The following is a 13,348-nucleotide window of genomic DNA, read 5'->3' as shown; positions in this document are numbered from 1 at the left end:
GAAAGAGAAAAAAAAAGTCAGTGTTTTCAAACTTACACCAGAAGCCCTTAAAACACCAATGATGTAAAAGAATCATAAATAAGTTTTATTTTTTATTTCATAAGTCAAGATGTTGTGGAGGAGGCCAAGGCGGACAATCGCTTGAGCCCAGAAGTTTGAGACCAGCCTGGCCAACATGGTGAAACCCCATCTCTACAAAAAATACAAAAAATTAGCCGGATGTGGTGGCGTGCATTTTTAGTCCCAGGTAGTTAGGAGGCTGAGGTGGGAGGATTGCTTGTGCCTGGGAAGTCAAGACTCCAGTGAGCTGTAATCCGCGCCACTGCACTCCAGCCTGGACAACAGAGCGAGACCCTGTCTTCAAAAAAAAAAAAAAAGTGATTTATTTTTCCCTTGATTTATTAAAAATATACAAATGACAGAATCAATCTGGGAAACTGGATTAGAATGCCCCCAGCAATATACAGTACAAGTGTTAAAATGTCTATATCTAGCAAATTTTGCTTAATTCAGTCCAAGGAAATAATTCTAACAGTGGCAAAGTAATTATGTACAAAGAATCTTTGAGATCATTAAGTATTTATATTCAGAACAATGCTGGCCCTAAGACAGTATGGTGAGCACAATTTAAGGCAAAAAATAAGCAGGAAAAATTCCTACTGACAAAACTTAGGATAATTTTACTTTATGGGTATTGCCTCATTCCCAACCACTATTACTGGATCGTTTTCTGAATGCTTATATTTTATTAAGACACAGGAATTTAAAATTAAGTCATCTGTGCTTTTGATTAGAAGAATGTACTTTTCAGTAGTGAAATACAGAGTATCTTACCAGAAAAACAGGAAGCTGAAATTTATCATTCAGAACTACAGCTTGTACACTACACGGTCCACAGAGCCGAGCAATAACTTCTTTACCCAAAAAGTTTGCATGGAAGATAAACAGCAGGATGCCAGAGCCTGAAAATGGGAGATGTGTGTGAATTACTTCAAAGGCAACCTTCAGTCCCCAGAGGAACACTCAACACCAGATGGAAGCAGGCCCCTGAGCTGGGCCTGGTCAGACAGGCATCACCCACTCTGCCTGGAGGCTCAGAGGAGGCTGGCCCTCTCAAAGCTCGTGTCACCTGGCATTTTTCAACCACAGAACTCTTTTTACCTTTTGCCCAAGTAATCTCTGCTGACAGTTCCTGGAAAAGACTTACGTATGATTTTCTACACTGAAGTTATTTAACTGGTATTTAAACACTGCTGCTGAATGTGCACACGTCCCAGGGACATTCCTGTGGTGGGCATCTTTGGGTGTGGGTCTGAGTGGTTTTCCATTTTCTTCCACATACCCTTTTGCCCCTTCCAATTTTTCTGATTAATACATAACCAAAAATTGGCCAGGCATGGTGGCTCATGTCTGTAATCCCAGCACTTTGGGAGGCAGAGGCAGGCAGATCACTTGAGGCCAGGAGTTCAAGATCAGCCTGGCCAATATGGTGAAACCCCCATCTCTACTAAGAACACAAAATTTAGCTGGGTATCATGGTGGGCACCTGTAATTCCAGCTACTCGGGAGGTTGAGGCAGGAGAATTGCTTGAACCCAGGAGGCGGAGGTTGCAGTGAGCCGAGATCGCACCACTGCACTCCAGCCTGGGGAACAGTGTGAGACTCCTGAAAAAAAAAAAAAAAAGTTGGTGGATGCAGACATTGTACACATGCTGAGAAAACTGCAGGCCCAGCAGTTGTAGGTGTCAGTGGGGGCTCAGGTTCACCAGGGCCAGCTCAGGGCATCGTTCTCTGGTACTCATACCTGGCAATGCAGATGGTCCACCCGAATAATCAAAACTATAAATTACTGAACGCGCACGGTGGCTCACGCCTGTAATCCCAGCACTTTGGGAGGCTGAGGCAGGCGGATCACTTGAAGCCAGAAGGCAGAGGTTGCAGTGAGCCAAGATCATGCCATGCACTGCAGCCTGGGTGACACAGGGAGACTCCATCTCAAAACAACAGCAACCACCTGATAAGTTCTCTCAACACTAAGATATTACAAACGGCTCTTTCAGGGGCAGGGCTATATGTTCTTAAATACATTTTCCAGGAATGAATACAAACCATTTACAAAATGGGGAACAGGAGTTTCTAAGCAAAAAAAGCCAGAGCCCGGCTTCCTCCCCTCGGCAGACTGCACTGCCTCCACGTCTACCTGGCGCCACGTGTAGAGAGGGCCAGCCGCAGCCCTGCCTGGAGAGGGTCTGTCGAGCAGAGGCTAGAGAGGAAAGTGGCTTCTCCATCTCTTTCCACTCAGCTTTACTATGGAGCAAGACTATTTTTTTCTTTTTCAAAGGGCAAAGACTATTACAAACAACAAAATTCAGGGAAAAAACATTCTAGGCTTAGAATCTTGACGCTGAATTTTAATAAAACTCATTGAGAACTAGTGTGATTATTAAGACCTAACTTCCATGCTCTATATGGGTGTTAAAACAGGGATGGGGTGTCAGCTGGATGTCTCTTCCACCAGAGTGGCTCTACTGTTAACCGGTCTGCAGAATTATTACACGTAATGGAATTTCCTTAAAGTTTTGTTCCAAGAAAGGATTCTGTCTAAAAATCTGTTAATATAGTGTCACACTTCACATAGAAAAGTGTGAAGGGAGGCATCGGCTTACCTTCTGGTATGTTCTGTGGGGGTTTGTAATTGAAATCTGTTGAAAAATCTGGACCCTCACAGAGTCGATGACATGCGATTGGAAAAACTGGTTCTAGCAGAGCAAGGCGAGCTTCAAAGTAATCCTTTATTGTCTCTTCTGCTACTCTTGAAAGTCTAAGAAAAAAAAATAGTACGTGTTAACGTTAATGTAGAAAAGAACCACAAGCCTGTCGAATACCAGTGAGGGCTTCCCAGGCCAACCTTCCAAACAAAGACCTGCAGCTCTGCCTGCCTCCGCTTTCCAGCTCTACTTCCACCAAGCACCTGACACCCATGTGTCTGTCTTGTTGTCCATCTCAGTGGAATTGAAGTTCTAAGAAGGCAAGTCTCTTCCCTCCACTGCCATTTCCATCTCCCCAGCCTTTAGAACAGTGCCTGGCACAAAGTCTATGCTTAATACATAGTTGTCTAATGAATCAGTGGAAAATCAGAAAGGGGAACCCCTCAGTACTGGGCAAATCAGGAAAGTGGGTCACTCTACTTGCTGGATCTATGCAAACCCCCCGTGTGACCAGAGGAGTTGGGACTGCAGCCATCAGCAGCACTGAGTTCAACAGGCGCGGTCCCAGAGGCCCACCCGAGACCTGCTACATAAACACCGCCTTGAGTTCGCTACTGTCTGATACATGCAAGTTTCTGATATGTGTTGCCAAGAGTTCTTAAGTGATAGAAATACTAAATTGTGTTATAAGTATGAACCTGCAATAAAATAAAATATGATTGAGAATTTATTTGAAAAAGAATGAACTTGAATAAACTAGTAAATCTTGACAACCAACAACAGAATATTAGTCAGTGCTAAACAGAAATGCACTATCAAGACATGGAAGGAATCTTGAATGCCTATTGCTAAATGAAAGAGGCCAACCTGCAAAGACCAAATAATGTGTGATTCCACCTGTTCTGGAAAGGGCAAAATATGAAGGAATTAAATTACTGGTGGTTGTCAGGGGCTGGGGGAGGGAGGGATGAAAAGGTGGAAAACACAGGCTTTTTAAGGCAGTGAAACTATTCTGTATGACACTGTGATGAGGGATGGATGTCATTATGTATTTGTCCAAATTCATAGAATGGGTAACACTACGAGTGAGCCCTAATGTCAATGCTGCGCTCCAGGGGATTATGCCATGTCCCTGTAGGTTCCCCAGCTGTATGTCCCACTGTGGGTGACTGGGATCTCGACAGTCGGGGAGGATGGCGGTGGGGAGGCTTGGAAATCTGTACCCTCCGCTCAACTTTGCTGTGCTTAAAAGTGTTGCAAAAAATAAAGTCTATTAAAAAGAAAGACAAATGTTTAAAGTTTCTTTCTTTTTTTGGTGGTGGGGGGCGGAAACAGAGTGTTGCTCTGTCGCCCAGGCTGGAGTGCAGTGGTGTGATCTCAGGTCACTGCAACCTCCGCCTCCCGGGTTCAAGCGATTCTCCTGCCTCAGCATCCTGAGTAGCTGGGGTTACAGGTACCCACCACCACGCCCGGCTAATTTTTGTATTTTTAGTAGAGCCAGGGTTTCATCATGTTGGCCAGGATGGTCTCAAACTCCTGACCTTAAGTGATCCACCCGCCTCGGCCTCCCAAAGTACTAGGATTACAAGCGTGAGCCACTGCGCCCGGCCAAGTTTAAATGTTTTTAAGAAAACCTTTGCTAACCAAATTAAGAGCATACTTAATATTTAAGGAAAATACTCCCAGATAGGCCAGTGTTAAGTTTGAAATTTTCTGAGAGTTAAATAACTTGCAGAAAAATAATTCATATGCCATTTATTAAATCTGTGATCTACTGGAAACAAAACCATCAGGACTTGTGCTGGATGTTTTTCTGAGCAGTTACACACAGGCCACTCCAATTATAATATGTCTACATAAACAGATGTATGATATGTGACTTAACTATGGCACAGTCGCTTCTCACTTACGTCTCTAAATGGTTCTTCAGCAAGTCGTACACAAGCACATTGTTAGACTGCTTCGCAAAGTGCAGGGCACTATTCTGGTGCTTTGACAAAATATTGCAGTCAGCTCCACATTCAATTACGAGTCGTACGATGTCTGAATTTCCTCTTTTACAGGCCTACGTCAGGTAAAAAGGAGTAACAATTACTTAGCTGTAAACTGTGGCATGGGTGCTGGTCCCTTCTCCATACATGCTTAGCGGTTCTGTGAAGAGAGGGCACAGGCCATGGAAGAAGGATAGAGAACTTTTGGGGCCCGTCAGGCCACAGCGTTAGGAGTCACACAGCATTGCTTAAATGCAAGTGGGGAGTATCTTTGACTCAGGGGCCAACATAAAAATCTGTGTGCTACATTCAGTTAATATCTTAGCACTGAGTTTTCAGGAAATGGGCAACTTCAAAAAGGATGCTTCAGTCCCAAGACAGAACAGACACCAGGCCTTGCTAAGCAGTCCCCTGCTGCTGCCCTCTGTCCATGCCACGCTGTCCCCCGTGAGCCAGCCCCTCAGCGAGGCGCAGAGATACGTAAGCCTGGCCTTCACTGTAGACAACTTTGTCTCAGGAATCTCAAAAACACCTCTCAGGACCACAAAACACCCTCGAAATGTCCCCAGCTGCCGCTTTAAAGGAGACAACCCAAGCACAGATCCGAATCTGAACCTGCAAATGTACGATGGAGCTGTGGCACAGCTGACAGACTGTCTCCTTGTCTCTGTCACTTATTAGCCACGTGACTTCAGATAAGTCCCTTAATTCTTCTGAGTGGCACGTTTCCATTTGCGAAAAGAGGATAAGGGTGCCTGTGCCTCCCTACCCTGTGAGGCAGATGCTGGGGCAGCAGCGTCACTTTGCAGAGCAGCCTCCAGGAGCGGTGGCACTCCCGCAGCCCTAGGAGGAGCCGCCACACTACCCCGACAACGGTGTCATCCAGTGCTTCTGGCAGGGGGAACTCTGCCATCAGGGGAGCCTGGGCAATGCCTGAGACCTTTCTGGTTGTTACCCTGGGCATCCAGTGCAGAGGTTAGGGACGCCGTCCAGGACAGGCTCGGGACAGAGCGAGTGGCCCACATTACAGCCACGGGGAGGGTGAGAGGCCCTTCTGGGACCAACAGAGCCTGCAGTGACAGGCGAGGGCAGTCCCTCTGCACCTGCCCACTCTGGTAAGGACCAATGTTACACACTTTCTCCTCAGATAAAAAGGTTTTTAATTTCTGAAAATCACTATGTTTACATCTTCTCATTCTAAAACTCAAACTTCAACATGCTAAATCCTGAAAGCAATTAAAATACAGCTTTTCAGGAACAAACACTTAAATAAACCTCATGGCAGATAAAGGCAGTCTACTGAATTCAGACCCAGTAAAATAAATAAGTGCTACATGTCCGCTCAGGGAAGAAACGCCACGCCCTCCCCAACCCACTTCCAGAGCCATCTCCCCTCTGCACCCCACTCCCCAACTCAACACACGTACCTCAGCAAGGCACACAGCCCTGAGGTGCTGACCTGGGGCACTCCCGCCTGCCTTCTGCCTGCTGTGTGGGGGAGGTGCTGCCAGCCCGTGGACCACTTCCTCCTCCTCCTCTGCTTCTCCCCACGCAGGCTCTTTCCATCTATGGCCCTTTTCTCCTTTCCAATTCCCCATGGATGACCCCACTCTCAACCTATGGCTACGGTCACTGTTGCAGAGCTGGACAGCAACAAACCTGAATCTCCAGCCCACACCTCTCTCCTGAGCCTAGATGCCCCTGTGAAATGTACAGAGGTGACATCTACACGACCCAACGCCCAACTCCCCCAGCTCTGCCAGCCGTGCCCCAACTTAGGAAATGGGATGCCCAGGCGTCACCTCCAGTTACCAAGCTCTTACCAAGTGGGCACCTCACCCACTCCATCCCTCCTGCCACTCCCGAGGTACAGACTTCTGTTATTTCACATAATCTGGAGACCCTCCTGACAAGTTTGCAAACTATCTTCTTCTCAATCTATGCCCCTTCTGTACTAAGCAGCATTAAAATACACAAATGAAAACCCTCTAATCCGATTCTACCCTTCTTCAGCTTCAACCTTGCTGTGGCTCCCCAGTGCCCTCAGGACGAACTCCCTAAGGCTTGGCATGAAGGGGGCTTCTGTGCCCACCCACCTCTCTCATGCTCTAAATGCACCTGCGTGGCTGCAGTTCAGGGTACACCTGGTCATCTGTCACTAAGATGATGCTTGCAGAGGCCACCTCTGCTCCACACAAGACAACCACAGAAACAAATGAAGGGAAACAAAGACAAACCTCAGGCTCCCAAACAAAATGAACATTTCCATGAACCAAAAGGAAAGTGCTTGAGGCCAGGAGTTCAAGACAAGCCTGGGCAACACAGTGAGACCTTGTCTCTAATAAGAAAAAAAATGGCTGGGTGTGGTGGCTCGCACCTGTAGTCCCAGCTACTCGGGAGGCTGAGGGAGGCACTTGAGCTCTGGAAGCCAAGGCATCAGTGAGTCATGATGGTGCCACTGCACTCCAGCCCGGGCGACAGAAGGAGACTGTTTATGGGCCTCATGCAGCAGGAGGACAAGGGACAGGTGGTCCAGGCCATCAGAAGAGGGTTCACAGTGAGACTTGATGCCAGGTGCCCTGCAGACCCAGGGCCTGGCTGTGCTCTTTTGCTTACTGGGGACAGCGGCTGGAATGGGCGCTGTGGGCAGGCCCCCGCTTGGCTCAATGGCTTACATGGAGCCAAGCATCCCAGGAAGGAAAGAGGACAGGTCCCCACAGGGAGCTGAGCCGGCCACCACTGGCTGGGTGTCTGGACCTGCTATATCCTAACAGCATCCTGGGCCAGGAACCCACAACTGCCACAGAGGAACCAACCAGACCTGGCAGGGCCCCCTAAGACAAATGCCAAACTGCTGACCTTTCTCTCAAAACCTGTCTGCAAACCACGTTCCAGAACACAGGAACAAGCCCGAGGCAACAAATTCACCAACATAAAATGACGAACACACAGAGTGCACGAGGAACTCCGTCCCACCCCTAGGCCTGCACTTTCGAGGCCAGCAGCCTCCCTGCTGCTCCAGCTGCGGCCGGAGTGCTCCCTCCCGGCTGACTTGACTGCCATTTAGGACACAGTGTGGCACCTGCCTCATCCACCCTAAGGATTGTCAGGGTCCCCAGGGCCCAGCTCGGAGCACTTCCCTGTGACCTCATGGCTCTCTGTGCCTGTTCTGATCACACCACTGCCCATACTGAGCTCTCACTGCTACCCTGCCAGCCCGCTTCTCCTTCTCCCCTGCAAGCGGCTGACTCTAGGACTGTCTTGGTACCCACTCTGTTCTCAGTCCCCAGCACAGTGCCTGGCAGTGGCAGATGCCAACACGAGCACCTGCCAACGTAGTGAAGAAAGGGATGACCTGCAGGAGGGATTTACCTTCATCAGTGCAGTCTCACCATTGCTTTGCTGGACATTTACAAAAGCTCCTGCTTCCAAAAGAATAGCCACTGTTGTTAAAAAGTTCTATGAAAAGAAAAAAAGGCAAATTTAATTTCCCAAATTATTTAAAAGACAGTTTTCAGATATTTTGAAATTTTTAGTCATCAGGAAAAATACCCAGCAGGTTCTATCACAAGTGGTTGCGGGCTGCAGCATTCCCGTGGGGCCACGGGGGTGCACCCCGCCCCACAGAGGCCCAAACGTGGCCACTCACTGTGCTGCCAGCAACTGCGAATGGAACCGCTAGCTCCAACCTAAGAACCTCTGCATATAAATCCTTTAAAAAGATAATATATGGAAACATTTCAATTAAATTATTAACCAAAAGGAATACAAATACCATTTATTCAAAAAAATTAAATTATCTAAGATTAAAATATTAGTACTTTAATCAGAGTATTTTAATATAAATTACTTCCAACGAGATAAATCACATTTTGAAATGTGATTACAATGTACTACTGATGATAAATCCATTCATTACATGTCACAGATCAACTGAAACAAAATTAAAAAGTTACTCCAGCTGGGTGCGGTGGCTCATGCCTGTAATCCCAGCACTTTAACTGAGGCAGGAGGATCACTTGAGCCCAGGCTGGGCAACACAGTGAGACCATGTCTTTACAAAAATTTTTAAAATTAGCCAGGTGTGGTGGTACACACTTAGTCCCAGCTACTTGGGAGGCTGAGGCGAGAGGATTGCTTGAGTCCAGGAGTTTGAAGCTACAGTGAGTTATGATGGTGCCACCTGCACTCCAACCTGTGTGACAGAGTGAGACCTTATTTCTAAAAATAAATTTTTAAAAAGCTATGGGACCGTGTGACAGCCAGGCGCGGTGGCTCACGCCTGTAATACCAGCACTTTGGGAGGCCAAGGCAGGCAGATCACGAGGTCAGGAGATCGAGACCATCCTGGCTAACATGGTGAAACCCCATCTCTACTAAAAATACAAAGAAATTAGCCGGGTGTGGTGGCAGGTACCTGCCTGTAGTCCCAGCTACTCAGGAGGCTGAGGCAGGAGTGAACCCGGGAGGTGGAGCTTGCAGTGAGCTGAGATCGTGCCACTGCACTCCAGCCTCGGCGACAGAGCGAGACTCCGTCTAAAAAAAAAAAAAAAGCGATGTGACCATGTGACTGCTATATTTCACTACCAAAGAGATCCTCTCAGTCCATCGGCAGGAATACCATGAAAGCTCTGAAACTGATGCATAAGAAGCCACAAACCTTCTCTGCAGCATGAATGAGGGCGGTGGTCCCGTTCTTCTGCCGACCGTTCACTTTCGCGCCTTTTGTGATGAGGAGTCGCAGGAGGTCGTCCTGCCCTCCGGCGGCGGCAAGCATCACCAGTGTCATTCCACTGGAATCCTGTGTTGGTTTGTTAAATAAAAAACGTGTTAATCTTTAGTCAGAACAATTTCAGAACCAAGTCTTCTCACTCGAGATGTTTCAATGTGAAATCACTAATAGGCACTGATTTAGGCATCTACTTAGGATTTTCACTAAAATATCCCAACCATCAGAAGCTACTAGCTTTTAGAGTATCTTTTCACATATGAATGTTTGCATAAAATTTTACAACTTTCCTCTATAGGCCTACCTTGTTTCACTGAGCTTTGCTTTACTGCACTTCACAGGGACTGTGTTTTTTACAAAGGGAAGGTTTGTGGTAACCCTGCCACAAGCACGTTTATTCACATCATTACCCCACAGCATGTGCTCATTTTGTGTTGTTGTGTCAGCATTTTTTAGCAATAAAGTGTTGTAAATTAAGATATATAGGTTTTTTAAAAGATGTAATGCTATTCACATTTAGACTACAGTATAGTGTAAACCTAAATTTTATATGCACCAGGAAACCAACAAATTTGTGTGACTCGCTTTATTCCAACAGTCTGGAACCAAACCCACAATATCTCCAAGGAATGCTTCAATTTTTTTTGTTGGTGTTGTTTTTCTTTCTTTCTTTTTTATTGAGACGGTGTTGCTATGTCAGCCCAGGCTGGTCTCAAACTCCTGGGCTCAAGCATTCCTCCTGCCACAGCCTCAAGTAGATGGGATTACAGGTGCATGCCACCACGCCCAGCTCTCATTTTTGTATCTTCTTTTTGTTTTGTGTATTAAATCCTAAAGGCACATGAAAAGTTTGCACCATACAAAATGAACAGTGAATTTTTGGGGGGCATACGATCAAATTTTCTACCTAGAAAATCCAAAACAAGTAACTTAAAAACTATAAGAATTTCATTAAATGACTGGAGTTACACACACTTATGTGTACAAAGACATCCACAGCTTTACCATCGACAAGCAATAACCAGTTAGAAAACAAAATGTAAATGAAAAAAGACTCTAATGACCATTATAAAACATATAGGCATACATCTATAGGAAATGTGCAACGTCTATATGAATGAAAAAACCCATAGAACTTTGCTTAAGGATATAAATGAAGAGCTGAGTGAATGTAGAATTACCATGTTCCTAGACAGAAGATGCAAAAAGTAAATGTCAATTCTCAATCTATATTATTTCATGCAATTTTAATCAAAAGCCCAATAATTTTGTGAATTGTAATCCCAAAGGATTAAACCTAAAAAATCCACAGCTAAGCTAAAAAACTAAAGAATATAAAAATATTTTCTAAGCAAGACAAGATACCCAAAAGCCATAAATGTAAAAGATCAACAGATATGATTGCCTAAAACTAAAAATCTTCAAGCAATACAAGACTCAAACACAAACCTAAAATCTAGGGAGAAAGGGTCAATATGCTTCCATTAAAAAAATCCATACGTGGCCAGGCGCGGTGGCTCACGCCTGTAATCCCAGCACTTTGGGAGGCGGAGGCAGGCAGATCACAAGGTCAGGAGATCGAGACCATCCTGGCTAACATGGTGAAACCCCGTCTCTACTAAAAAAAAAAAAATACAAAAAATTAGCCGGGCGAGGTGGCAGGCAACTGTAGTCCAGCTACTCGGGAGGCTGAGGCAGGAGAATGGCGTGAACCCGGGAGGCGGAGCTTGCAGTGAGCTGAGATCACACCACTGCACTCCAGCCTGGGCAACAGAGCGAGACACTGTCTCAAAAAAAAAAAAAAAAAAAAAAAATCCATACATATCAGTATGAAAAATCCCCAGCTACAACAGGAGAGATGGACCATTGTTGTAAATGGGACAACCATCAAAGAAACACAAATGACCACAGGAAAATGGTCTCACTCTACGCTCTCAAGAGTGGCAGAGGGTAAACCACATACAAAACAGGTAGACCATAACCAAACCAAACCATCACTTTTAGAGGGGAGGGGGTTGGAATTAAAGGGACTATAATTGTACATTTATAGGGTTCTACAATTTTTTTATTTTACAAAGTGAACGTGCATTATTTTTTTTTTTTTTGAGATGGGAGTCTTGCTCTGTTGCCCAGGCTGGGGTGCAGTGGTGTGATCTCCACTTACCACAGCCTTGACCTCCCAGGCTCAGGTGATCCTGTCACCTCAGCCACCCAAGTAACTGGGACCAAAGGTGTACACCACCATGTCCAGCTAATTTTTGTATTTTTTGTAGAGTTGGGGTTTCACCATGGAGCCCAGGCTGGTCTTGAATTCCTGGGCTCAAGCAATCCTCCTGCCTCGGCCTCCCAAAGTGCTGGGATTACAGGTGTGCACCACCACGCCCAGCCTTTTGTAATTAAAATAAATGAAAAGTTAAACTGAATTCTTTCAAGTGTTACTTTCCATTTTCCTTTCATGAGATTTTTCAACGACATATTACCTCTTGGTCCAGGTTATATTCTTCATTTGAATTAAGTGCAACTTTTACAGTAATATAATCCCCATTTTTCACAGCATCCCTTAACACATCTAAAATGAAAGAAAAAATAAGTTAGATTTTATAAATCTAGATTTGTGAAAGGGATTTCAATATTTCCAAAACTACTCACTACTTGGAATTGCATCTGTTGCAGCAAAATTCTCATCTTTCCCATCAAGGTGCTTTTGGAAATCTTCCAACTTCATCCATTCCAACTGCAGGTCCATGCCCAAACTCAGAATCTGCTGCCTGCCATCTGGAACACACAATAGCCTTGTTAACATACATTTGTCTGAAGTATAAAAAACCCACAATGTTGTTTATGAAATTTGTGGTGTCTTAACCAAAGCTTTATGTACACTTTTAACACAAGTCATTGTATAATGGGGTCTTTTAATTGATAAAATCCCCAATTTTCTTTGGGAAGTAATATGAACGATCCACATTTAGAAGCCATGGTACTCTGAAGGCATAAAGATAAATAGGTAAGCTGTCATTGTAAAATAGCAAAGGAGGAATTTTAAGACTAAGTAGCTCAAAGGAAGGAGGGATCGGGGATCTGGTAAGAGGAAATGCAATTCTAATGTGACTCTTCTCCCTTACACCATTCTTCTTGGACATACACTGCTTCCAACCATGTACAGATAAAGCCATTCTCAGCATGTGAGCTATCCCAGCATGTGAGTCAAAGGCACTGCTTATGGATCCTTCCAGACTCCCACAGGCCCCTACATCTGGAAGCCTCCTGCTCCCAGTGCCCTGGCCCACACCCACCCCCGTGAGGTATTGCTAGAGTCTTCCCCGACAGGACCTACAGGCACGGGAACACTGAGGACGCATGTGTTCAGCCTTTATCACCACTGCAATCAATCACACAGACTTCAGTGCAGGTCATTTGGGAGTAATTCACAATGGTTTTGTGCTTTTTTTACAAGTGAAAAACAGAACTACTTGATGGTAGAGTTAAAGGATTTTCACCTGAAACCAGTTCCTCAAACTATATAGATGATGTTAGGCAGATGGCCTGGCCACAGAAAAAAAGTTTGTAAAACATATGCAATAAATGAAGAACTTTTCCAAAGCCCTCAACTCAAACTAACACTTCTGCTAACTCTGAGAGCTGACAGCAGAGAAACAGCACAGCCTCTGGGCTGTCCATCCTGGTGCAGCATCCCAGGTCTATCAGCAATGGTAATAGTGAAAGCCACTAGCAATCATAAGACATGTTAACTTATTTACATGAATGGATTTATTTCCTCCATACACAATAACCTGTAAGGGGAGACATGTTACAGATGAGAGAGGCTGGGAGAGGCTCCAGGGTTTGCTCAGAGACACACAGCAGTGAGTGGCAGAGCCAGTCTTCTTATTCAGGTGTCTGAGTCCCCCATGAAGCCCCCA

General features: G+C 45.4%; 1 protein-coding gene across 5 annotated transcripts in view; it reads right to left on the bottom strand.

The window, feature by feature from the left end:
* The window catches only part of MPHOSPH8 (M-phase phosphoprotein 8), a 39,783-nt gene that overhangs the window by 2,244 nt on the left and 24,191 nt on the right, over nucleotides 1–13,348 (bottom strand). The window contains exons 6-13 of one of the 5 annotated variants that reach the window (XR_007063684.1): nucleotides 12,078–12,203; nucleotides 11,909–11,997; nucleotides 9,360–9,500; nucleotides 8,072–8,158; nucleotides 4,619–4,773; nucleotides 2,667–2,821; nucleotides 835–962; nucleotides 234–354 (exon numbers count right to left, since the gene is read on the bottom strand). Coding sequence is in view for 4 of the 5 variants with exons in the window: in XM_047430396.1 (XP_047286352.1) it covers nucleotides 212–358; nucleotides 835–962; nucleotides 2,667–2,821; nucleotides 4,619–4,773; nucleotides 8,072–8,158; nucleotides 9,360–9,500; nucleotides 11,909–11,997; nucleotides 12,078–12,203 (1,028 nt within the window). In the remaining variant the exon portion in view is untranslated. Of the gene's footprint in view, nucleotides 1–79; nucleotides 359–834; nucleotides 963–2,666; nucleotides 2,822–4,618; nucleotides 4,774–8,071; nucleotides 8,159–9,359; nucleotides 9,501–10,882; nucleotides 11,047–11,908; nucleotides 11,998–12,077; nucleotides 12,204–13,348 lie in introns of those variants that run through there. The other 4 variants (XM_047430395.1, XM_047430396.1, NM_017520.4 and 1 more) reach the window with 4 other exon arrangements.

The sequence above is a fragment of the Homo sapiens genome, chromosome 13, assembly GCF_000001405.40.
Source record: "Homo sapiens chromosome 13, GRCh38.p14 Primary Assembly".
NCBI lineage: Eukaryota > Metazoa > Chordata > Mammalia > Primates > Hominidae > Homo > Homo sapiens.
The sequence above is the reverse complement of the archived record's forward strand: the minus strand, read 5'-3'. Positions and strand labels throughout refer to the sequence as shown.